This window comes from Homo sapiens, chromosome 2 (assembly GCF_000001405.40).
Source record: "Homo sapiens chromosome 2, GRCh38.p14 Primary Assembly".
Classification (NCBI taxonomy): Eukaryota; Metazoa; Chordata; class Mammalia; order Primates; family Hominidae; genus Homo; species Homo sapiens.
In genome coordinates this window covers 124,587,971-124,612,748 of record NC_000002.12, presented here as the reverse complement: position 1 = coordinate 124,612,748, position 24,778 = coordinate 124,587,971, and the positions used below count along the sequence as shown (strand labels likewise).

Genomic DNA, 24,778 nt, shown 5'->3' with positions numbered 1-24,778 from the left:
TTAAAAAACAAAAACAGAAAGTTAGACATCGTGCAGCTGAATATGACCCAAAAAAATCATATTCAAAATAAATACCCCACCATACGCATCAAGCTGATCAACTCGGGACACAATTCAGAGGCTCTGATTTCTTCAGGATCATATCAGCAAAACAGTAACCTTTAAATACAAGTACACACTCACCTTTAGCCATTCTTGGACAAATGATCAAACATAAACCCTGGGAGAAGGCTGTTGGATGGTGAGGCAGAGAGTTTCATGTACATGAAACCTATGTATCAGTCAGACTCTCTAAGTCCTTGTCCTTGCATTATTTTGAAGAGTTTAACATTTCTAAGCTATATTTATCTTAATTTCAATATATATTTTAATAGGGAAAATCTACACAACACATTAAAATTAAAATTTATAATTTAAATGTATATGTATATTTCTGTGTCTGTATGTATATATATAACATACACATTCATAGCAAAAACACACATAAACATTCATTTTAAAATGTCTTGAGGAAATTCTAATAATTTAATAACAATGGCAATCTCTGGATTGCGGATTACAGTTGGCTTTAATATTTCCTTCATACTTTTTTCCCTCAAAATTTCTTCAATTATTGTTACAAAATTTTCTAACAATAAAACAACACTTTAAAAACAAAATGTATGTAATAGAACATATCCAATTAACATTTTAGTGATATGAATTATTACTGAACCAGAAGGCTATGCCCGCTTCCTAAGTCTTGACTGTTAGTCACAGAATTTACCTTGAGCCAGTCATGAAATGCTCATATTCTCTTCCCTTCTACGTTAGATGGAGATAAAAAAAATGTCTGCCTCTGATTTTTGTTGTGAGGATGAAAAGAGATGGTATTTGTAAACTCCCAGCTCAATTCCCAGAGAGAGTCGAAGCTCAGTAATTGCTGTCCATTATACCACTCTTATTATTACAAGTCACACCTGGCCACTCAGCAGTGGGCATTTATCTCTTTTGCCTTATTTGCAGCCAAATTACTTTCCCTGTTTTTTGGAAAAGTGGAACAGGGACAATTTGCATCAGAATCACTTGAAAAGCTCAGTAAAAGTGCATTTACTGAATTGGAATTTCTGGGGCTGGGAAATCTGCCTTTTTAGCAAGAGTCCATATGTTAATTACATTTTTAAAATAACCGAGATCCACTGAGAAGCCTAGTTTTTGACCAGGTTGTTGAACACTATAGGTTACCACAACCATGAAAAGACAACAGGAGCACAATTTCTAATTATGTTACAGGGCTTTTGAAAAGCAGCTATCATACAACCATTTTGGAGAGATAAAGAAAGTTATTACGGAAATGCAAGGACGTGGCACCCAATGCCAGGTCACCAGCATTTTCTACGCAGACAGCATAGGACTTTGTATCCAGATGGGCAAATTACTGTGCTTCCTTACTCACCATTTCTTTCCAATAGTTTTCTTGCATTTAGCTGGAGATACCTCACGGTAGTGTTCCTGACTTTACTGCCTCATGAACAACAGCCACTGTGTCTTACTTTTCATACCCTCTGTATCTAAAACAGTGTCTGCCTACAGAAAGCACTCCATAAATGTGGTTGCTTTGTTGCAGAAAATCCTGAGGCCTGAAGGCTCAATGAGCCTAAAGAGGCCCCTACGTTCCTGCTTCATTACATGATGCAGCTGGCATCTCTGAAGACCAGTGCTTGAAACAAACAAACAAACAAAAAATGTGCGTGTGCCAATTAATGATGCTCATAATAGGAGTGCTTGCATAGCTGGATTTTTTTTTTTTTTTTTGAGACGGTGTCTCGCCCTGTCGCAGGCTGGAGTGCAGTGGCACGATCTCGGCTGACTGCAACCTCCGTCTCCCGGGTTCAAGCGAGTCTCGTGCCTCAGCCTCGGGAGTAGTTGGGATTAGTCACATGCCACCGCACCCAGCTAATTTTTGTATTTTTAGTAGAGACAGGGTTTCACCGTGTTGGCCAGGATGGTCTGGATCTCCTGACCTCGTGGTCTGCCTGCCTAGGCCTCCCAAAGTGCTGGGATTACAGGCGTGAGCCATCGCACCTGGCTGCATAGCTGGATTTTTAAATAATGATTACCTCAAGATTTGGTTTTGTGGAAATGTATTTCATGGTAAATTAAGGATCATATGTCATTTCTAAGCCCATGTAATGATTGCCTCTTACCATGTCCTTCTGCATTTGAGAAATAAGTTTAAGCTATCAAGAAATTTCCAGAGAAAAATGAAAAAACTCACCTTTTCATTTTGTTTTGTTTTGGTTAGGCATCTAAGAACAACCAGCCTGGCTAGCTGCTCCAATACACATGATTGTATCTAATTCTCACAGCTCTGGGGGTAGCCACTATTATTCTCATTTCACTGATAAAGCTCAGAGAAACTATAGTATTCACCTAAGGGTCATGCATCCCTTGGGGCCAGAGTGGAATCAAGCTTTCCAGCTTCCTGAGTCAGGGCTTCCCACTGATTTGGAGTTTTGTTTGTTTGTTTGCTTATTTACCTTTTCTTTCTGTTTTTGAGTTTCAGGAGAGAAAATGCCCTTGGAGGCCCTAAAGAAAACCACTGATAATTAATTCTTGCTTCAGTGAAACATTATCAAGACCATTAACAAGTTTTCTTTTTTCTGTCTCATGAAAATTAACCTAGCTGCAAATTTGCATTACTCACCAGAATACCATTTCCTCCCCAAAGGAGACCAGTTGGTCTTTCAAATTTTTATTCACGTAGGTATCCCCCTCCAGTGAATTTATTTTTGCTTCCTTCCATGAAGTGGGGTGGTTAAGTGTGAGTAGGGCTACTGCACCCTTACCAGTGATATTGCAGTACACCTGGAGAGGTCCCAGTGGGCCGCTGCCATCTGAGTCGATGTAGAAGAAGCCGGCTGTATTCCCCTGGTGCCTGTACACCTCGCAGGATTGCTCGTAGATGGCTGGAAAGACAAAGGCAGCAGAGATAAAACTTTGCTTGGCTCTGCATATCCCTTTGCAGGAATCAGTAACTCCTACTTAGATTTGCTCTATGTGTATTCATTTCCCTCCTTCTATATCCTTGACTTTTTCCCCAAGCCTTAACACACCAGTACCAGTGGCTTGATACTGATGTTTGACATTCAGATTTTCCATTCATCTCTCTCTCTCTCTCTTTTTATTATTATTTGTTTTAGACTGCAGTAGCACGATCACGGCTCACGGCACATTGCAGCCTCAAACTCCCAGGCTCAAGTGATCTCCCACTTCAGTCTCCCGAGTAGCTGGGAGTATAGGTGTGAGCCACCACCCTGACTAATTTTTTTAAAAAAATGTTTATAGAGATGGGGTCTCACTCTGTTATCCAGGTTGGTCTTGAACTCCTAGCCTCAACTGATTCTCCTGCCTCAGTCTCTCAAGCTGCTGGGATTATAGGCATGATCCGCCAGGCCCAGCCTTATTTTCCATTTATTTAAATTCATTCATTCTTTTAAAATCAGTGCAGAGGTAATGCCTCTCAAAATGTGGCCCCTCACCTCTTACATGGCCCTCCTCTTTGCTTATCTCTATGACCTTCCTCCTTGCTCCCACTGTATACTGAGCTTGGATCATCCAAATACCATTGTGTCTCTTTCAATGGGTTACAGAACCTGTAAGAGTAGTGGTCACGTGTCATTTGATGTTGTGCCCCAGCATCTAGCAGAGTGCAACAATCACAGCAGGGCCTGAGCCAATGTTTGACTCATGAATTAAAAAAATTACTGCTTACATACAGTATGGCTTTTTACTAATTAAAGACTTTTTCTTTTTTTTTTTTTCTTGAGGTAGAGTCTGCTCTGTTGCCCAGGCTGGAGTGCCGTGGCTTGATCTTGGCTCACTACAAACTCGCCTCCCGGGTTCAAGAGATTCTCCTGCCTCGGACTCCTGAGTAGCTGAGATTACAGGCACATGCCACCACGCCCAGCTAATTTTTATATTTTTAGTAGAGACGGGGTTTCACCATATTGATCAGGCTGGTCTCGAACTCCTGACCTCGTGATCCACCCACCTCAGCCTCCCAAAGTGCTGGGATTACATGTGTGAACCACTGCGCCTGGCCCAGACTGTCTTATTTTTATGTACCTAGTACTAAGTATAGTACATAACATGTAGTAAGTGCACAACGAAGTTCAGTTTATTTTGACTTAATAAGCATTTACTGAGTTCCTAATACGTGTCAACAGATGAGGTTGCCACCAGAGGATGGAACCATGGAGGAGGCAATAAATCTCTACCCCAGAAAGCTCACAGCTTGATTGGCAGCCACAAAAGTCTGCATGCTCAGATAGAGGCAGGTTCAGGTGTCCTGAGATAGGGAGCTTTGATAAATCTGCAAGTTTGGGAAATATATAAATTTTATTAGGCTAACATGAATAAATCTGTTGGGGGTATAAAGGAGACATCTACTGTCTCATATATGAGAATATAGAATGTTGTCTGATGCTTCAGACAAAATGCTGTTGCTCAGAGCAGCAGCTACATCTCCAATCATGTCACCCTATGATGCTTTAAACATTTCAGTGGCTCCCAACAGCTTTCAAGATATAGTACCAACTCCTCTCCTAGCCAACTCCTGCCCCTTGTGACTAATGTCCCATCCCAGGAAGAGGAAGCTGCAGTTTGTCATGATCAAATGTGAGGGGTGGCTCAAATAATTTATTACCAGGAAAGTTATGAAGCCTGAGAGGGTTTGACTTTTTATAAATTAGAGTGAACTCAAGGTTATCCTTGTTCTCATGGCATTCTCTCTTGCATTCCAGCAAACTTTCCGCAGCAGGAGGTATGTGGGAGTGCCACAATCTGTGCCCCACATTGTGAGCATAATGTACAGATTATTTTTGTTTGCCTAAACCTGATAATGCCCTTGGGTGTTTGTCACAAAGGTGAAAATCAGCTGTTGTCTATGTTGACCTCCCAACCACTCCCACATTCCCGGGATGACAGCTATGTGGAAGGAGTTGCTGTTGTCCCACAAAAGGGAAACACCACCCCACAGCATGTGAGCAGTTGCATAGTAGTTAAGAACATAAACCTTGGAATCAGAATGGGTGGTTTTTCCTGGCAGGGCTACCCCTTTCTCCCTGTGGAAGCGTGGACAAGCTACCCCACCTGTGCTAGGCAACCTCTAAGGTAATTCCCGTGATGGACAGATACTTCCTGGGATTCATGTTCTGCTGACAAAATCACATCCTCCCTCCAAGTGGGCTGGACTTACTGGCTTGCTCTAACAAATAGAATATGATAGTGTGGTAGATACCATTTCCAAGATTAGATTATAAAACAACAGTGACTTCCATCTTGGGTGTTCTAGGTCACTCACGGTGGTAGAAGCCAACTCCAATGTAACAAGGCAGCCCTTGCAAGAGGCCCACAGGAGTGAGCCTGGAAGTTTTGGTAGCATGCCCTGAGAATGGGCACCAAAGCAAGATCCCCATATCAAGCCTTAAAACGAAAGCAGCCCTGTGGACATCTTTTTTGCAGCTGCATGAGAGACCAAGACAGAACCACCTAGCTAAGTTGCTTACGGTCCCAGAGACACTCTGAGATGATAATGTCTGTTGTTTCCAGGTGTTGTTTTAGAATCCTTCATTACAATAGGTAGCTAATCAACTCTCGAAGTATAAATTGTCTCATTAGACTACAGTAACTCAAAAAGAGCCTCCCTCATACTGTTGTAGTAAGGATTCAAAGACACAATCCACATATGGCACATAGAAAGTGCTTGATTAATATGAGCCTATATTATTAATAGTAGTAGTGTTGTTTCATGACTTGTTGCCTCTCCTTTTTTTATGAGTTTTTAATATGGTTTCGCTGTGTCCTCATCCAAATCTCGTCTTGAATTGTAACTCCCACAATTCCCATGTGTTGTGGGAGGAACCTGGTGCGAGGTAATTGAATTAGGGGGCGGGTCTTTCCTGAGCTGCTCTCATGATAGTTAACGAGTCTCAAGAGATCTGATCATTTTTAAAAGGGAGAGTTTCCCTGCACCAGCTCTTTTTTCTTTGCCTGCCGCCATCCACTTAAGATGTGAATTGTTCCTCCTTGCCCTCTGCCATGATTGTGAGGTTTTCCCAGCCATGGGGAACTGTGAGTCCAATTAAACCTCTTTCTTTTGTAAATTGCGCAGTCTCAGGTATGTTTTTATCAGCAGCGTGAAAACGGACTAATACAGTTTTTGTATACCTGATTTTTTTTTTCAATTTTCATCATAAACCACAAGCCTTGGTATAAAAGATCAGTAGCTCCAACTTCCCTTCTGCACAGAAATAACTTTTCATTCTTAGTTCATTTTTCTGTTATTGACTGGAATGACTAAATAGCATGTCTATATTGTTACTTCTTATTTTTTTTTTACTTTTACAAGTTATCTATTTATTTAACAGTTGGAAAATGGGAATTTAGCCCTTTTTATCCCCCCATCCCCAAAATAAAAACAACTTTCCATTCCCCCATCCATCCAGTCTAGTTGTATAATAATTTTAGCTACATCAATGATTACTATTTTGGTGATATGACATTGTAAATGCTATTCATAGATTAACTACATATTATAATGTGATTACTTTTTCTTTTCTGAACAAAATTTAGTTTTTCTTGAAATTTAAAATTGTCATATTTTCTCATTTGCCTAGTTTTCTACATATAAATTGCTAATTTAACTCCAAATTTACTAACAACTATCTAAAATATCTACCAAAATGTTCAGGTAAGAATTAACATAAGAGGATAACTATGGAGAGAGAGAAAAATGTGGGAGGGGACAAAGATGAAAGTGAGACATTTCTGAATGTCTTATATTTTTAATTTTGAAACCATAAAACTATTTTCAATAATTTTTAAAAGTTAAATATAATAATTCTTTCTATTCTTTCTTTCTTTCTTTCCTTCTTTTTTTTTTTTTTTTTTTTTTTTGACAGAGTCTTGCTCGGTCACCCAGGCTGGAATGCAGTGGCATGCTCTTGCCTCACTGCAACCTCCGCCAGGTCCAAGCAATTCTCCTGCCTCAGCCTCCCGAGTAGCTGGGACTACAGGCACACACCACCGCATCTGGCTAATTTTTTCTGTTTTTAGTAGAGACAGGGTTTCACCATGTTAGTCAAGCTGGTCTCAAATTCCTGACCGTGTGATCCACCTGCCTCAGCCTCCCAAAGTGCAGGGATTACAGGTGTGAGCCACCACACTCAGCCTAGAATAATAGTTCTTAAACATTGAAAGAAAATGAAAACAAGATAATTTAACCAGGAATTATTTAAAGCAATATTGAAATTTAATATTTTCTTTTTAACTTTCTCATTGCAGAAACTTTCAAATACAAAGAGCACAGAGAGGATCCTGCTAGCATCACAACCAGCTTCAGCAACTCCCAGTATATTGCTAATCTTCCATCATCTATATCCTCAGTGCATCAGTTCTTTTGCTGTATAAAAACAAACACACATAAAACTCCAAATTTGACTTTAAGTCATGACTAAGCCATGATTCTGCAGGCCAGCCATTTAGTCTGGGATTGGCTGGGCAGTTCATGCATCTGCAGTCAGCTGCTGGGTCAGCCAGGCTGGGTGGTGGTAAGCTGTAGTTCTTTGCTTCGGCCCACGTGGCCTCTCACACTGTAGCAGGGGAGTTTACATGGTACAGCCTCCCAGAACAGCAAGAAACAAAGTACTTGTCAGGCCTCTGCTTGCATGATGTTTGCTGATGCCCCATTGCCCAAGGCAAATCAGTGAGGCATCCAAAATTCTCAGAAAAAAATCCCAAGAAGCTAAATGAAATGGATCAATAGGGTAGACATGGATTTTATCATTGTTTGACTTCATTGAACAGGTCACACAGCATGGGATGTGAACATAAAATAAATGTTTATTTCACTAAGTCATTGAGATCTTGGGGTGATTTACCATCTTAGTTAACCTACTGTTATTGATATACTTGTTCCTTAAATGCTGGCTCAGTAACTGGGAGATCTCTGAGGGCAAAGCCTGGTAACAGCATTGCCATTTATGGACACTGTAAATGAGTTCATAAAATATAAGTACTTTGCCCAAAGACAAACCAGCTTGTAGGTGGTTAATCTAATGCTATCATCCCTTCCTGATTTATTAATGGGAATGTTTTACAAAACTGAAACAACCTTCATCGTTTGATTTCCCTAAACTACAAGATTATTTGGGAAAAGCGAGTTACATGGTTGATGCTTTCACTTTAATTCATCAGTTTCGAAATGCTGAAATGTTTCCCTAGGGTGCCCCAAAGTAACGGATGAAAATATTTTTAGTATTATTATGAATGTATAGATTTAAACATATTTGATATTGAAACAGTAGTTTGACTAGTAGGATGTATCCTACCAAAAAAATTTAAAATATAAAAATACATTTAATAACCTCATTTTAAACGATATTGCTATTATATTATGAAACTATTAAACATAGCAAGAAAAAGCTAATAATTGTCTTATCAACAGAAACTAAATTACTTATCATAAAAGATAAAATATAAAATGCAAACAGATAAAATTCTGCAATATATCTTAGAATTGGTAATAAGCTTAAGCTTATAATTTAATGCTTTCAAAAAATGATGCATTTTCACATTTGGACCACTGAAAGTGCAAGAAGCAAATTAATGCACAGAGAGTTGTCTCTAAATAAAAGTTAACACATAAAAGGAAAAAAGATTTTACTGAGTCAATTTTGGGACCATGAAAAGTACAGAATGAAAGTGGAATGTCTTGCTTTGCCTAAAAACAAGACTTTTATTAAAGACTGGAATTATCTCAAAACAGCCCAGGAGTTAGTTTGATGGGACAATTTGGGCATAAAAAATAATAGTCACTTTGATTGTTAAATATATACAATTTATTAGTTTCTATCTATCCATCAATCAATTTATATATGTATGCATGTATGTATGTAGGTATGTATGTATATATGTATGTATGTATTTATTTATCTATCTATCTACCTACGTAGCATCTATCTTGTCTCTCTACTCAAGTCCATTGGTCCCCTCTGAAGTTTAATAGAGAATGAAGTCATGTCCTGAATATTAGAAAGAACAGAGATCATATCCTGTCTTTCTTGTATAAATGTATTTGAATGCAACTTAACAGTCCATGAAAAAAGTCTTTAGAGAATAACCAAACCAGAATCTGCAAAAGAATAATAGAATTTGAAAATCATCCTTTAGTAATGCCCAGTGAGATAAAGGATTAAACAATGATCATCAAGGACTGCCAAACCATTAGTTGAAACATTAATGGGATATTTTAGTCAGTGGATTCAATTAACACCTGAACTCATGGGTCAATCTTAACATCATGAAAAGTGATTATCAGGGTGCCTCTAATGTGGCACAATAAGACATATGTAACACCATCTAAAACACATTCTTGCCACAAAAATTGAAGATAAATGTATTCGAGCCCCAAGATCTAAACACCAATTTACAGAAAGAGGCCCACATGCCCAGCCACACTGTAAGAATGCAATTAGTTAAATCTACAATACTGGAATGTTTCACTTAGTTTCTTCAACAAAAATGGCAAAAATGGAGTTGAAATGCAAAAGATATATCAGTCAGTCAAACACTATGCTTAGATCTTGTTTAGACCCTAATTCAAACACATTAAAGAAAAGATGAGAAAGAAAGAAAGGAAGAAAAGAAGAAGGAAGGAAGGAAGGTAGGAAGGAAAGAAGGGAGGGAGGGAGGGAGGGAGGGAGAGAGGGAAGATGTTTTAAGATAACCACAAAAATTATAGATCAGATTTTATAACAGATTATATTAAGTATTTTTAATTTTGATAGTTACAATTATGGCAGTGTGATTATGTTTTAAAAGATGAGTTGTCCTGTGTTAGAGAGTTGTTCACTATGAATACTGTAGTTGTAGTAAAATTATATGTCCACAATTTGTTTCTAAAATTCTCCATCAGCTGGGCACAGTGGTTCACACCTGTAATTCCAACATTTTGGGAGGCTGAGGTGGCACAATCACTTGAGGCTGAGAGCTCGAGACCAGCCTGAGCAACATAGTTAGATCCCCGTTTTTACAAAAAATTTAAAATTAGCTGGGTGCGTAGCTTGTGCCTATAGTCTCAGCTACCCAGGAGGCTGAAGCAGAAGAGTAGCTTGAGTCCAAGAGTTTGAGCCTGCAGTGAGCTATGATTAAGCCACTGCACTCCAGCCTGGGTGACAGAGCAAGACCCTGTCTCAGTTTAAAAAAACACAAACAAACAAATAAATAAGATGTTGCATCAAACAAGTGAGGAGGGGATAGTCGAAATAAAAATGAGAGAATATTGATAACTGTTGAGCCTGAATGAAGGATACATGTGGGACAATTACATGATATTGCCTTTATTCTTTTTTTTTTTTTTTTTTTTTTGGTGAAGTCTTGCTCTGTCGCCAGGCTGGAGTGCAGTGGCATGATCTTGGCTCACTACAACCTCCGACTTCCTGGTTCAAGCTATTCTCCTGCCTCAGCCTCCCGAGTAGCTGGGATTACAGGCACATGCCACTATGCCCAGCTACTTTTTGTATTTTTCATAGAGATGAGGTTTCACCTGTTGGCCAGGCTGGTCTCGAACTCCTGACGTCGTGATCCACCCGCCTCGGCCTCCCAAAGTGCTGGGATTACAGGTGTGAGCCACCGCGCCTGGCCGATTTTATCTTTTTCATATGTTTGAAAATGTGTTTGAAAATCAAAAGTATCTTCTGGATTCTTCTGACTTGCTGTAATACGGGATATTGAGCTACCCGTCTGGTTACAGTTGTCTCCCCAAAGCATCTCCTCACCCTCAAGCTGGATATTCCTTTTAAAACTGGCCTTTTTCACTAAAAATAATTCCCTTGAGATCCATTCAAGCTTTGTGATGTATCAGTTGTCAATTCCAGTTTCACTGCTGAGTAGTATTTCATAACATGGACATACTACAGTTTAATAATTAATCCACTGAAGAACATTTGGGTTGTTTCCGTTTTAAGCTATTTCAGTTGTAGTATTTTTAAAATTATAGAAGATTGGTTTTTTTCCTTTGAATATTATTTTCTCTAATAGCACGTGATGCTTGACTCATTGACGCAATACTTCATTCATGTCTCTAAGAATATTAATCATATTACAGTACCTTTGATCCTTTCTTTGCTCCGTATAGGCTGTTCCCTTTAAGCTGTGCTTGTTTGGTTAATTGCTTTAATTGTTGTGTGTTTTGTTTTGGTCTCTATCTTACATTTCATGTAATAGTGCTTTCTGGGATGTTCTCTCGTATTTGATAGTGGTCCCTGAAATACTACTTGGTATTTGTAAACAAATGTCTGTGGTTTGCCTTCCAAGGACTTTAATGTAGGCTTATCTGGCTGAAGAATTTTGTGAGAAATGCTCACGTTAGTGTCTTTTGTCTTTCTCTTGCTCTTGTTAGAGTCTATGATTTAGAGGATGTATGCTTGGCTGTGGAATATCTCGGAGCTGAAGAGAAGAAGGCCAGGTCTTAGCATTCTTTCTATATAAATGTTTTCATACCTTACCCCATTTTCAATATGGTACAACCTTCTTCAACCATACATGTTTTCTCTCAGTTTTAGGAATTGTGTTTTCTCCAAAAGAAAAACTTCCAGTCTTCTCTCTCAGTGGTGAAGGAGCAATCACCAAGTGTCCACAACTGGAAAGAGGATTGATAATCTAACTACTTCTTACACAGATGTAGATTTACTCTTCCTGTATTTATCTTACCTTCACCTTCACTTGCAAAGGTGACTGATGATTCCTACTTCTGTGCCTTTGGGGGATTTTGTAATGTGGATTTGTTTGTTTCTTGGATTTCACTGCATGTAAATTAAGATTCAGCATTATAATTATGTTAATCTGTTACCTGTTCCTATTCGTCTACTCACTTTCTGCTTTCAACATTTTCTTGCCCTTTTCCCCTGTGGTTTTTGCTTCTCTCTTTCTCTCTCTTTCTCTCTCTCTCTCTCTCTCTCTCTCTCTCTCTCTCTGAGTATTGTTGTTGTATTTTGGGGGTTTTTGTGTGTGTGCCCCTGTATTTGTCTCCTTTTGTCATGCCATTGTGGTGGATTCGAGTTGTGTCAATTTAAGCCAAACTGGAACTACATTTACCAGAATTCCTTTCCTTGCATAGCTCTGGTCAGCATATCCCACAACAGACATTTTACATGAGATGCGGCAGGTGCAAGAGCATAGCACAGACATTGATTCCATGTGTGTAAGGTCAATGAAGGGCAGGATGTGCTACTGTAGATTTACACACATCATTGCTCATCTACTGATACATGTTACTAGTGTGTGGCAGCCAGATGGGCTCATCTACTGATACATGTTACTAGTGCGTTACTCCAGATGGGCTACCTTCTCCTTCAGCTTCCCTCATTTCTAGCCTAATTTCTAGCCAGGTGAATTTTCAGTCTCCTATGAGCACCCCATCACTGAAGTTGCTGTTTTGGAGATGGTAAACGACAAAGAGTTCCTCTGATTTGCTGCTGGCTTACAGAGCCATTAAAAAATAAAAATAAAAAAAAAACCATTTACTATTCTTCATGAGGAGTGTAAGGAAACAAAGTTAAACACACATGTGCAATTCACCAACTGTTTCAGGAAGTACAAGCATACACTTTTGTTTACTAAATTATTCGGCCTACATTGCTTGCCTAACACATTATGGAACAAATACTCCACACACGTTTATTGAGAATGCACTTGTTTTTCACTAATCTAAGGTAAGCTCTGAGAAAATCACATGCAAAAAAAAAAGACATGGTTCTAAATCTCAAGTTATTCAGCGTCTTAAACTTACCAACATTAACCTCAATCTGACACAAAATTTAAATCGACCTGTTCCTATAAAAAATAGGAAAAGTATTTAAGGAGCTCCCCCCAACCCATGAGTTTGAGGCTGCAATAAGCCACATTTTTGCCATTGCATTCCAGCCTGGGTCACTGAGTAAGTAATACTCCATCTCCAAAAACAAAAACAAAAACAAAAAAACTCCCTGAGATAATAGAGTAAGATTGTAATATTGTGAGAGTAAATGGTTTCTCAAATGAACCTTTTAAAGAACAAATCATCTCACTGGTACTTCTATTTCTCCAAAGAACAGAAGAAGAAAGATATCTTCCCATCTTCCACATTTGTTATGTAAAGTAAATGCAAAGCTGATCCTTAACCTGACAAACATCATAAAGAAAGAAAACCAAAATTATAGAATCACTCATGAATATCAATCACAAAATTTTAAATATAGTGTCAGCAAACAGAACTAAATAACGTATTTTAAAATTACATAATGGCCAAGGGAATGTTTAATCCAAAAAATCAAGAGAGGTTCAATATTTAATAATTTATCTAAATATTTAAATAAATAATTCACAACTATAGATATTTGTTGATAAAGGCAACTCAAATCAGTAGAAAAACAAAAAAAATTACATGTGGTATTGAGATAATTGGGAAACTATATGGAAAAAGATGAAATTAAATCCACTCCTCATACTGCAGACCACGATCAAATTTTAATTGAATCAGAGATTTAAATATTGAAGGTGGGAGGAGCCAAGATGGCCGAATAGGAACAGCTCCGGTCTACAGCTCCCAGCGTGAGCGACGCAGAAGACGGGTGATTTCTGCATTTCCATCTGAGGTACCGGGTTCATCTCACTAGGGAGTGCCAGACAGTGGGCGCAGGCCAGTGGGTGTGCGCACCGTGCGTGAGCCGAAGCAGGGCGAGGCATTGCCTCACCTGGGAAGCGCAAGGGGTCAGGGAGTTCCCTTTCCGAGTCAAAGAAAGGGGTGACGGACGCACCTGGAAAATCGGGTCACTCCCACCCGAATATTGCGCTTTTCAGACCGGCTTAAAAAACGGCGCACCACAAGACTATATCCCACACCTGGCTCGGAGGGTCCTATGCCCACGGAATCTCGCTGATTGCTAGGACAGCAGTCTGAGATCAAACTGCAAGGCGGCAGCGAGGCTGGGGGAGGGGCGCCCGCCATTGCCCAGGCTTGATTAGGTAAACAAAGCAGCCGGGAAGCTCAAACTGGGTGGAGCCCACCACAGCTCAAGGAGGCCTGCCTGCCTCTGTAGGCTCCACCTCTGGGGGCAGGGCACAGACAAACAAAAAGACAGCAGTAACCTCTGCAGACTTAAATGTCCCTGTCTGACAGCCTTGAAGAGAGCAGTGGTTCTCCCAGCACGCAGCTGGAGATCTGAGAATGGGCAGACTGCCTCCTCAAGTGGGTCCCTGACCCCTGACCCCCGAGCAGCCTAACTGGGAGGCACCCCCCAGCAGGGGCACACTGACACCTCACACGGCAGGGTATTCCAACAGACCTGCAGCTGAGGGTCCTGTCTGTTAGAAGGAAAACTAACAAACAGAAAGGACATCCACACCAAAAACCCATCTGTACATCACCATCATCAAAGACCAAAAGTAGATAAAACCACAAAGATGGGGAAAAAACAGAACAGAAAAACTGGAAACTCTAAAATGCAGAGCGCCTCTCCTCCTCCAAAGGAACGCAGTTCCTCACCAGCAACGGAACAAAGCTGGATGGAGAATGATTTTGATGAGCTGAGAGAAGAAGGCTTCAGACGATCAAATTACTCTGAGCTACGGGAGGACATTCAAACCAAAGGCAAAGAAGCTGAAAACTTTGAAAAAAATTTAGAAGAATGTATAACTAGAATAACCAATACAGAGAAGTGCTTAAAGGAGCTGATGGAGCTGAAACCCAAGGCTCGAGAACTAAGTGAAGAATGCAGAAGCCTCAGGAGCCGATGCGATCAACTGGAAGAAAGGGTATCAGCAATGGAAGATGAAATGAATGAAATGAAGCAAGAAGGGAAGTTTAGAGAAAAAAGAATAAAAAGAAATGAGCAAAGCCTCCAAGAAATATGGGACTATGTGAAAAGACCAAATCTACGTCTGATTGGTGTGCCTGAAAGTGATGCGGAGAATGGAACCAAGTTGGAAAACACTCTGCAGGATATTATCCAGGAGAACTTCTCCAATCTAGCAAGGCAGGCCAACGTTCAGATTCAGGAAATACAGAGAACGCCACAAAGATACTCCTCGAGAAGAGCAACTCCAAGACACATAATTGTCAGATTCACCAAAGTTGAAATGAAGGAAAAAAATGTTAAGGGCAGCCAGAGAAAAAGTTCGGGTTACCCTCAAAGGGAAGCCCATCAGACTAACAGCGGATCTCTTGGCAGAAACCCTACAAGCCAGAAGAGAGTGGGGGCCAATATTCAACATTCTTAAAGAAAAGAATTTTCAACCCAGAATTTCATATCCAGCCAAACTAAGCTTCATAAGTGAAGGAGAAATAAAATACTTCACAGACAAGCAAATGCTGAGAGATTTTGTCACCACCAGGCCTGCCCTAAAAGAGCTCCTGAAGGAAGCGCTAAACATGGAAAGGAACAACCGGTACCAGCCGCTGCAAAATCATGCCAAAATGTAAAGACCATCGAGACTAGGAATAAACTGCATCAACTAACGAGCAAAATCACCAGCTAACATCATAATGACAGGATCAAATTCACACATAACAATATTAACTTTAAATGTAAATGGACTAAATGCTCCAATTAAAAGACACAGACTGGCAAATTGGATAAAGAGTCAAGAGCTGTATTCAGTGTGCTGTATTCAGGAAACCCATCTCACGTACAGAGACACACATAGGCTCAAAATAAAAGGATGGAGGAAGATCTACCAAGCAAATGGAAAACAAAAAAAGGCAGGGGTTGCAATCCTAGTCTCTAATAAAACAGACTTTAAACCAACAAAGATCAGAAGAGACAAAGAAGGCCATTACATAATGGTAAAGGGATCAATTCAACAAGAGGAGCTAACTATCCTAAATATATATGCACCCAATACAGGAGCACCCAGATTCATAAAGCAAGTCCTGAGTGACCTACAAAGAGACTTAGACTCCCACACATTAATAATGGGAGACTTTAACACCCCACTGTCAACATTAGACAGATCAACGAGACAGAAAGTCAACAAGGATACCCAGGAATTGAACTCAGCTCTGCACCAAGCAGACCTAATAGACATCTACAGAACTCTCCACCCCAAATCAACAGAATATACATTTTTTTCAGCACCACACCACACCTATTCCAAAATTGACCACATAGTTGGAAGTAAAGCTCTCCTCAGCAAATGTAAAAGAACAGAAATTATAACAAACTATGTCTCAGACCACAGTGCAATCAAACTAGAACTCAGGATTAAGAATCTCACTCAAAGCCGCTCAACTACATGGAAACTGAACAACCTGCTCCTGAATGACTACTGGATACATAACGAAATGAAGGCAGAAATAAAGATGTTCTTTGAAACCAACGAGAACAAAGACACAACATACCAGAATCTCTGGGACGCATTCAAAGCAGTGTGTAGAGGGAAATTTATAGCACTAAATGCCCACAAGAGAAAGCAGGAAAGATCCAAAATTGACACCCTAACATCACAATTAAAAGAACTAGAAAAGCAAGAGCAAACACATTCAAAAGCTAGCAGAAGGCAAGAAATAACTAAAATCAGAGCAGAACTGAAGGAAATAGAGACACAAAAAACTCTTCAAAAAATCAATGAATCCAGGAGCTGGTTTTTTGAAAGGATCAACAAAATTGATAGACTGCTAGCAAGACTAATAAAGAAAAAAAGAGAGAAGAATCAAATAGACACAATAAAAAATGATAAAGGGGATATCACCACCGATCCCACAGAAATACAAACTACCATCAGAGAATACTACAAACACCTCTACGCAAATAAACTAGAAAATCTAGAAGAAATGGATAAATTCCTGGACACATACACTCTCCCAAGACTAAACCAGGAAGAAGTTGAATCTCTGAATAGACCAATAACAGGAGCTGAAATTGTAGCAATAATCAATAGTTTACCAACCAAAAAGAGTCCAGGACCAGATGGATTCACAGCCGAATTCTACCAGAGGTACAAGGAGGAACTGGTACCATTCCTTCTGAAACTATTCCAATCAATAGAAAAAGAGGGAATCCTCCCTAACTCATTTTATGAGGCCAGCATCATTCTGATACCAAAGCCGGGCAGAGACACAACCAAAAAAGAGAATTTTAGACCAATATCCTTGATGAACATTGATGCAAAAATCCTCAATAAAATACTGGCAAAACGAATCCAGCAGCACATCAAAAAGCTTATCCACCATGATCAAGTGGGCTTCATCCCTGGGATGCAAGGCTGGTTCAATATACGCAAATCAATAAATGTAATCCAGCATATAAACAGAGCCAAAGACAAAAACCACATGATTATCTCAATAGATGCAGAAAAAGCCTTTGACAAAATTCAACAACCCTTCATGCTACAAACTCTCAATAAATTAGGTATTGATGGGACGTATTTCAAAATAATAAGAGCTATCTATGACAAACCCACAGCCAATATCATACTGAATGGGCAAAAACTGGAAGCATTCCCTTTGAAAACTGGCACAAGACAGGGATGCCCTCTCTCACCGCTCCTATTCAACATAGTGCTGGAAGTTCTGGCCAGGGCAATCAGGCAGGAGAAGGAAATAAAGGGTATTCAATTAGGAAAAGAGGAAGTCAAATTGTCCTTGTTTGCAGACGACATGATTGTTTATCTAGAAAACCCCATCATCTCAGCCCAAAATCTCCTTAAGCTGATAAGCAACTTCAGCAAAGTCTCAGGATACAAAATCAATGTACAAAAATCACAAGCATTCCTATACACCAACAACAGACAAACAGAGAGCCAAATCATGAGTGAACTCCCATTCACAATTGCTTCAAAGAGAATAAAATACCTAGGAATCCAACTTACAAGGGATGTGAAGGACCTCTTCAAGGAGAATTACAAACCACTGCTCAAGGAAATAAAAGAGGATACAAACAAATGGAAGAACATTCCATGCTCATGGGTAGGAAGAATCAATATCGTGAAAATGGCCATACTGCCCAAGGTAATTTACAGATTCAATGCCATTGCCATCAAGCTACCAATGCCTTTCTTCACAGAATTGGAAAAAACTACTTTAAAGTTCATATGGAACCAAAAAAGAGCCCGCATCGCCAAGTCAATCCTAAGCCAAAAGAACAAAGCTGGAGGCATCACACTACCTGACTTCAAACTATACTACAAGGCTACAGTAACCAAAACAGCATGGTACTGGTACCAAAACAGAGATATAGATCAATGGAACAGAACAGAGTCCTCAGAAATAACACCACTTACCTACAACTATCTGATCTTTGACAAACCTGAGAAAAACAAGCAATGGGGAAAGGATTCCCTATTTAATAAACGATGCTGGGAAAACTGGCTAGCCATATGTAGAAAGCTGAAACTGGATCCCTTCCTTACACCTTATACAAAAATCAATTCAAGATGGATTAAAGATTTAAACGTTAGACCTAAAACCATAAAAACCCTAGAAGAAAACCTAGGCATTACCATTCAGGACATAGGCGTGGGCAAGGACTTCATGTCCAAAACACCAAAAGCAATGGCAACCAAAGCCAAAATTGACAAATGGGATCTAATTAAACTAAAGAGCTTCTGCACAGCAAAAGAAACTACCATCAGAGTGAACAGGCAACCTGCAACATGGGAGAAAATTTTCGCAACCTACTCATCTGACAAAGGGCTAATATCCAGAATCTACAATGAACTCAAACAAATTTACAAGAAAAAAACAAACAACCCCATCAAAAAGTGGGCGAAGGACATGAACAGAAACTTCTCAAAAGAAGACATTTATGCAGCCAAAAAACACATGAAAAAATGCTCATCATCACTGGCCATCAGAGAAATGCAAATCAAAACCACTATGAGATATCATCTCACACCAGTTAGAATGGCAATCATTAAAAAGTCAGGAAACAACAGGTGCTGGAGAGGATGTGGAGAAATAGGAACACTTTTACACTGTTGGTGGGACTATAAACTAGTTCAACCATTGTGGAAGTCAGTGTGGCGATTCCTCAGGGATCTAGAACTAGAAATACCATTTGACCCAGCCATCCCATTACTGGGTATATACCCAAATGACTATAAATCATGCTGCTATAAAGACACATGCACACGTATGTTTATTGCGGCATTATTCACAATAGCAAAGACTTGGAACCAACCCAAATGTCCAACAATGATAGACTGGATTAAGAAAATGTGGCACATATACACCATGGAATACTAGGCAGCCATAAAAAATGATGAGTTCATGTCCTTTGTAGGGACATGGATGAAATTGGAAACCATCATTCTCAGTAAACTATCGCAAGAACAAAAAACCAAACACCGCATATTCTCACTCATAGGTGGGAATTGAACAATGAGATCACATGGACACAGGAAGGGGAATATCACACTCTGGGGACTGTGGTGGGGAGGTGGGAGGGGGGAGGGATAGCATTGGGAGATATACCTAATGCTAGATGACGAGTTAGTGGGTGCAGCGCACCAGCATGGCACATGTATACATATGTAACTAACCTGCACTATGTGCACATGTACCCTAAAACTTAAAGTATAATTAAAAAAATAATAATAATAATAAATAAATAAATAAATAAATATTGAAAAATAGAATACATACATGTACTAGAGAAAAACAAGGCTGAATTTCTATGTAAATTAGAAGCAGCAAAAGTATTACTAACAATGATTCAAAATCCAGAAGCAATGAACAAAAATATAGATAAATTTCCTAATATTCAAAATAAATTAAAAAAATAAACAAACATTTTTGAATGGCAAAAGATACAATAAACAAAAAAAGGGCAAATGGACAAACTGGGAAAAATTACAATTTGCATCACAAAGCACTAACATTTCTAATATACTTTTACAAGTTAAAAATAAAGACACAATAGGTAGCAACCTATAGGAATATATGCTGATGATATGAGTGGAGACTCATAGAAAAATAAATGCAAATAAATCTAAAACACATAAAAGATGTCTGACGTTACTTATAGAAAAATAAGTGCTAATGAAAATGAGAATATTAGTTATATTATAGGGGAAAGGCCTTTTCCCTAGCAGGCTTAGCAGTGGAGTGTTGTCAATCTTTTGGATCATTGCTAATTTGATATGTGAAAAATTGGATTTCAATGTCATTTTCTTTAGCATTTTTTTTTCCTATAAGCAAGGTCAGACATGTTTTTATGTGTTGTAGATTTATTTGCATTTATTTTTCTATGAGTGGTCACTCATATCATGAGCATAGATATTGGATCATTGCTAATTATATATAAATATTTGTCCATTTAACCTTTTATTTTGATACACACACACACACACACATATATATATACACACGTATACATATATATATGTGGCTGAGAGGGAATGCAAAAATCATACAAATCCTAAATGTGGAATTTAGCAATATCTAGCAAAATTACAGATACATTTAAACTTTGACCCAGAAACACCATGTCTAGTGATCTGCTCCAAGAAACACTGGTAAAAAATGGGGGAAAAAAGATGTTTCCATATTTTTTTAAAAACACCATTTGTGCTTGCAAAAAGACAGAAATCATCCTCGGTGTTCATCAATTGAGGACTAGTTGAATAAACTATGTTGCACTCATGGAATATAGTTCAGCTTTGAACAGGAATGAAGCATCCCCACACGTAACACTACAAGCTGAGCTTCTGAATATATAGCTATGAGAGAAAAGCACAGACAATGCATGTATACTATGCTAATGTTTATCTAATAAATGGGGGTATGAACTTATTTGTATTTGCTTATCTTTTTTAAGAAAACAGCATTTTTATAAAGGTTATGTATAGAGAATGGAAAGGAAGAGGAAGAAGGAATAAGAATAAAAGCAAGACTTGTTTGATGAAGACTTATTTTGTTGGTTTTACATTGTTCCATAAACAAGCATTTTTTGAACTGCTTGTAATTATAAAGTAATCTTTTCTGCAGAGGTAGAGAAGACACCATAAATGTTCCCACCATTAAGGTAAGCTTTAAAATATGAGTAGGTGTTCACTATATGAGTGCAGGGTGGCTCCTTCTCAGTATAGAACAGCAACAGTGCAACAAGGGTGCAACATGGTGACATATCGGTGTAATATGTATGTTCATCAAGACTAAATCCAAGGCTTCCTTCCTCCAGAAAGCCTTTCCATATCATCAGTCTGAGTTAGGTAGACTTCCTTTCTCTTTCTCCACTGCTATGTATGGAAATCCTTGGATTAGCATTTTGATCTCTCTTGTTTAACCTTTGGTAAAGGTTAAATTGAGCTAAACTTAAAAATTGTATGGCAATATCTTTGTTCTCTGCAATACCTAGTAAAGCTCAAGACAGAGATTACCATCCACTGTATATGAAATGACTTGCTACATCTTACACAAGCTCTAAATTAGCATTGAAGGTCATCTTTGAGGAAATCATCACATTTTCTGTTGGGAAGAAGATGGGAGTGTGAAGGAAAAGCAAAATAAACATTATCAGTAACAAGATTTGTCTCCATTAGAAAAAACAGTAACTAGTAAACCTATTGTTGCATTTGAAGGTCTGGTATTAGGGGTACTCAGAAAGATATGTGCTCTTCAATGAAAAGGACAACGATAGACATATTAAGTCTCTTCAGAATAGATTTTTATATTAATGTGAACAGATGTATAATGTAGCTGGACAGAGCAGATGGATCAGTGTTTTCATTTTTGAGGAAAATAGTCTGAATATAGTTCTGGCAGCTAATTTATTGCCTAAGGTACAATTTGAAATGTCCTTGTGATGCCCACTCTCATTAAAGATAATGATAGTATTCAGACAGCGAAATAGTTTTATTTAGACCTCACCTTTTCAAGTATCAAGGTCAGAGATGTGGTGTTTCTGCACTGCCATTTATATTCCTATTGTAAAACTATAGAAATAGACAAGAAGCTGAGTACATATTTTTAAGGCCTTAAAAATGTATCAGTCCTGTTTCTTCCTTTGTTCCTATGTCCCCAGCAATATAATATTTACCACATGACTGCATATTTAGTTACAGATCTCCATGCACAGCCTACGGACATCAATAGGATCAAATTAATTCTAGTAATTAAGTAAATGCTTGTGAAGCATTTTGCATTTAGCAGCCATTTATTTAATTAAGTTTATCAAACCCCTTGTGCGGTAGGTTTGAGGGACTTTGCCTTGGCCTTATTTCAGTGAAGAAAAGAAAAATAAATATGTTAAAACTAATGGGAGTGCTGAAATTAGTTCAAACAATGTGTCTGGGGATTAAATTAGAAAATAGATCTTTTGGTGTCCCAGTCTGCACATAGCTGGTACAGGCTGAAAATAGACATAGGTTCTGTAACATTTTCATTACCTAAAAGGAGATTGGTAGAGATGGAACCAGATTAGTGGTTGCTACAGGTTACAAATGGAGATAGGAGAGTGCAGGTGCGGCCATAACAGGATTGTCTTAGTTCGCTGTCTGCTATAATAGGGTATGTGAGACCTAGTAATTTATAAAGTACAAAGTTTTATTTTTTTATGGTTCTAGAAGCTTGCAAGTCCAAGGTCCAGGGGACTGCATCTAGTGAGGACCTTCTTCCTATATCATCCGTTGGTAGAAGGTGGAATGGCAGGGAGACAGAGAGAGAGAGGGAGGGGAAAACTCATCCTTTGATGAGAAACATAGTAACTAACCCACTCCCATAATAACAGCATTAACCCATTCAGGAAGTCAGAGCACTCATGGCCTAATCACCTCTTAAAGGTCCCACCTCCCAACACTGCTGCATTAAGCATTAAGTTTTCAACATGTGAACTTTGGGGAACACATTCAAACCACAGCAAGGATAGCAGGAGGAATCCTCATGATGAAACTATTCTGCTTCTTGATTATGGCAGTGATTGTGCAAGTCTACATGTGGTTAAAATTCCATGGAACTAAACACACACACAACTGAGTTCACGTAAAAAGGATACAATCTGAGTAAGCTCCATATAGTATACCGACATCAATTTCCTTTTAAATATCGTGCCATAAATACGTAAGATATTAGCACAGGGGAAACTGGGGTACACAGAACCTCACAGTGCTTTTTTTTGTTCAAAGTTTACTATAAATTATGTCAAGGTACAAAGTCGAAAAAGGAGGCAGGAGGTTAAGTCAGCAATCTCACTTGCAGGTATATATTTAAGAGAAATGAACACATGTGCCCAAATAAAAGCTGACATATGCATGTCCATTATTCATAATAGTCAAAAAGTGGAAACAACCCAAAAGCCTACCAACCAATGAATGGATAAACAAATGTGGTATTTCCATACCATGAAATATTACTAGGCAGTGAAAAGGAATGAGACATGCTACAACACAGATAAATCGTGAAAACGTGCTAAATGAAAGAAGCCAGTCATAGGAGAGCATATATTGTATGATTCCATTTATGTTAAATGTCCAAATTAGACAAGCCTATAGAGACAGAAAGTACATTAGTGACTGCAGGGGCTGGGGGTGGTGGAGGGGAGATGAGGAATGACTTACCATGTATGGGGTCACTTTTTGGGGCATCGAAATGTTCTACAATTAAGATAGTGAAGAAGGCTTGCACAGCCAGGTGAGTATGCTACAAACCACTAACCTGTACACTTTAAATAGGAGAAATGTATGGTCTATGAAATATGCTTCAATAAACCTGAAAAAAAGTTAAAGGATGGGATGTTATGTTGTAGGTCAGGTCCCAAAAGATGTTTCAGGCTCCCGGGACACACTGCACCAGAGCCTGGTGTCTGCTTGATTTGGCCTGTGGTGTCTGATTAGGGCAACACAGGAGCCAGATGACCTCTGGCTCTGTGAGAAAGGCAAAGAAAGCACTGTGCCTGCCTAGAGCTTCACCACCACCCAAGCCGGCATCTGTACTTCATTTTCTTCTTAAAAACCACCACACATTTTAGTTAAGATAAAACGTAGCAACAGTTGCTAAATATAAGTAGAGAATGTTGTTGTGACTAACATTCTTATTACATTGACGTCACCCTGACCCTCCATGATCTGATACATTAATCTATGAGATTTACATAATAATAAGGTTTATATTTAAAATATAAATACATAAGCAAGCTCAATATAAACTGTCCCAGTAATTCAAAGCTGAATTGAGTCTAGGCCATCAGATGCCTGGAAGTAAAGTCGTTGGTATGTAAAGATACGGCAAGGCTTGAACCTTCTCAGTGGGCACACACACCTTCTAAAGTATTGGTTCCCTGAGTATGTTCCTCAGACCGACGACAATTGGCATACTCTGAGCTTTCAAGATAGGCATGCAAATTATTGGGCCCCATCCTGACCTATTAAACCAGAATCTCTGGGGATAGGGATCTGGAAGTTGCATTTCATAATAGTGTCAGGTAATTCTTTTGCAAGTTAAAATTTCAGAAGCATTGTAGAAAGAAAAGAAGAAGAAAGAGGAAATAAAGAAAGAAGAAAGAAAGAAAGAAAGAAAGAAAGAAAGAAAGAAAGAAAGAAAGAAAGAAAGAAAGAAGGAAGGAAGGAAGGAAGGAAAAGGAAGGAAGGAAGGAAGGAAGGAAAAGGAAGGAAGGAAAAGGAGGGAAGGAAGGAAGAAAAGAAAGAAAGAAAGAGAAAGGGAAGGGAAAGGAAACTTTGAAAATTAACTCTTATTAAATCGTGACAGGCCTGAGATTTTTACACTTTTAAACCCATTGCTGAAAACTCAAGTTTCCAATATGTA

General features: G+C 38.8%; 1 protein-coding gene across 3 annotated transcripts in view; it reads right to left on the bottom strand.

Moving 5' to 3' along the window:
- Positions 1–24,778, bottom strand: part of CNTNAP5 (contactin associated protein family member 5) — an 895,933-nt gene that overhangs the window by 308,471 nt on the left and 562,684 nt on the right. For all 3 annotated transcript variants that reach the window (NM_001367498.1, XM_017003316.2, NM_130773.4), the window contains exon 12: positions 2,829–2,948. In NM_001367498.1, the coding sequence (NP_001354427.1) occupies positions 2,829–2,948 (120 nt within the window). The remainder of the gene's footprint in view (positions 1–2,828; positions 2,949–24,778) is intronic.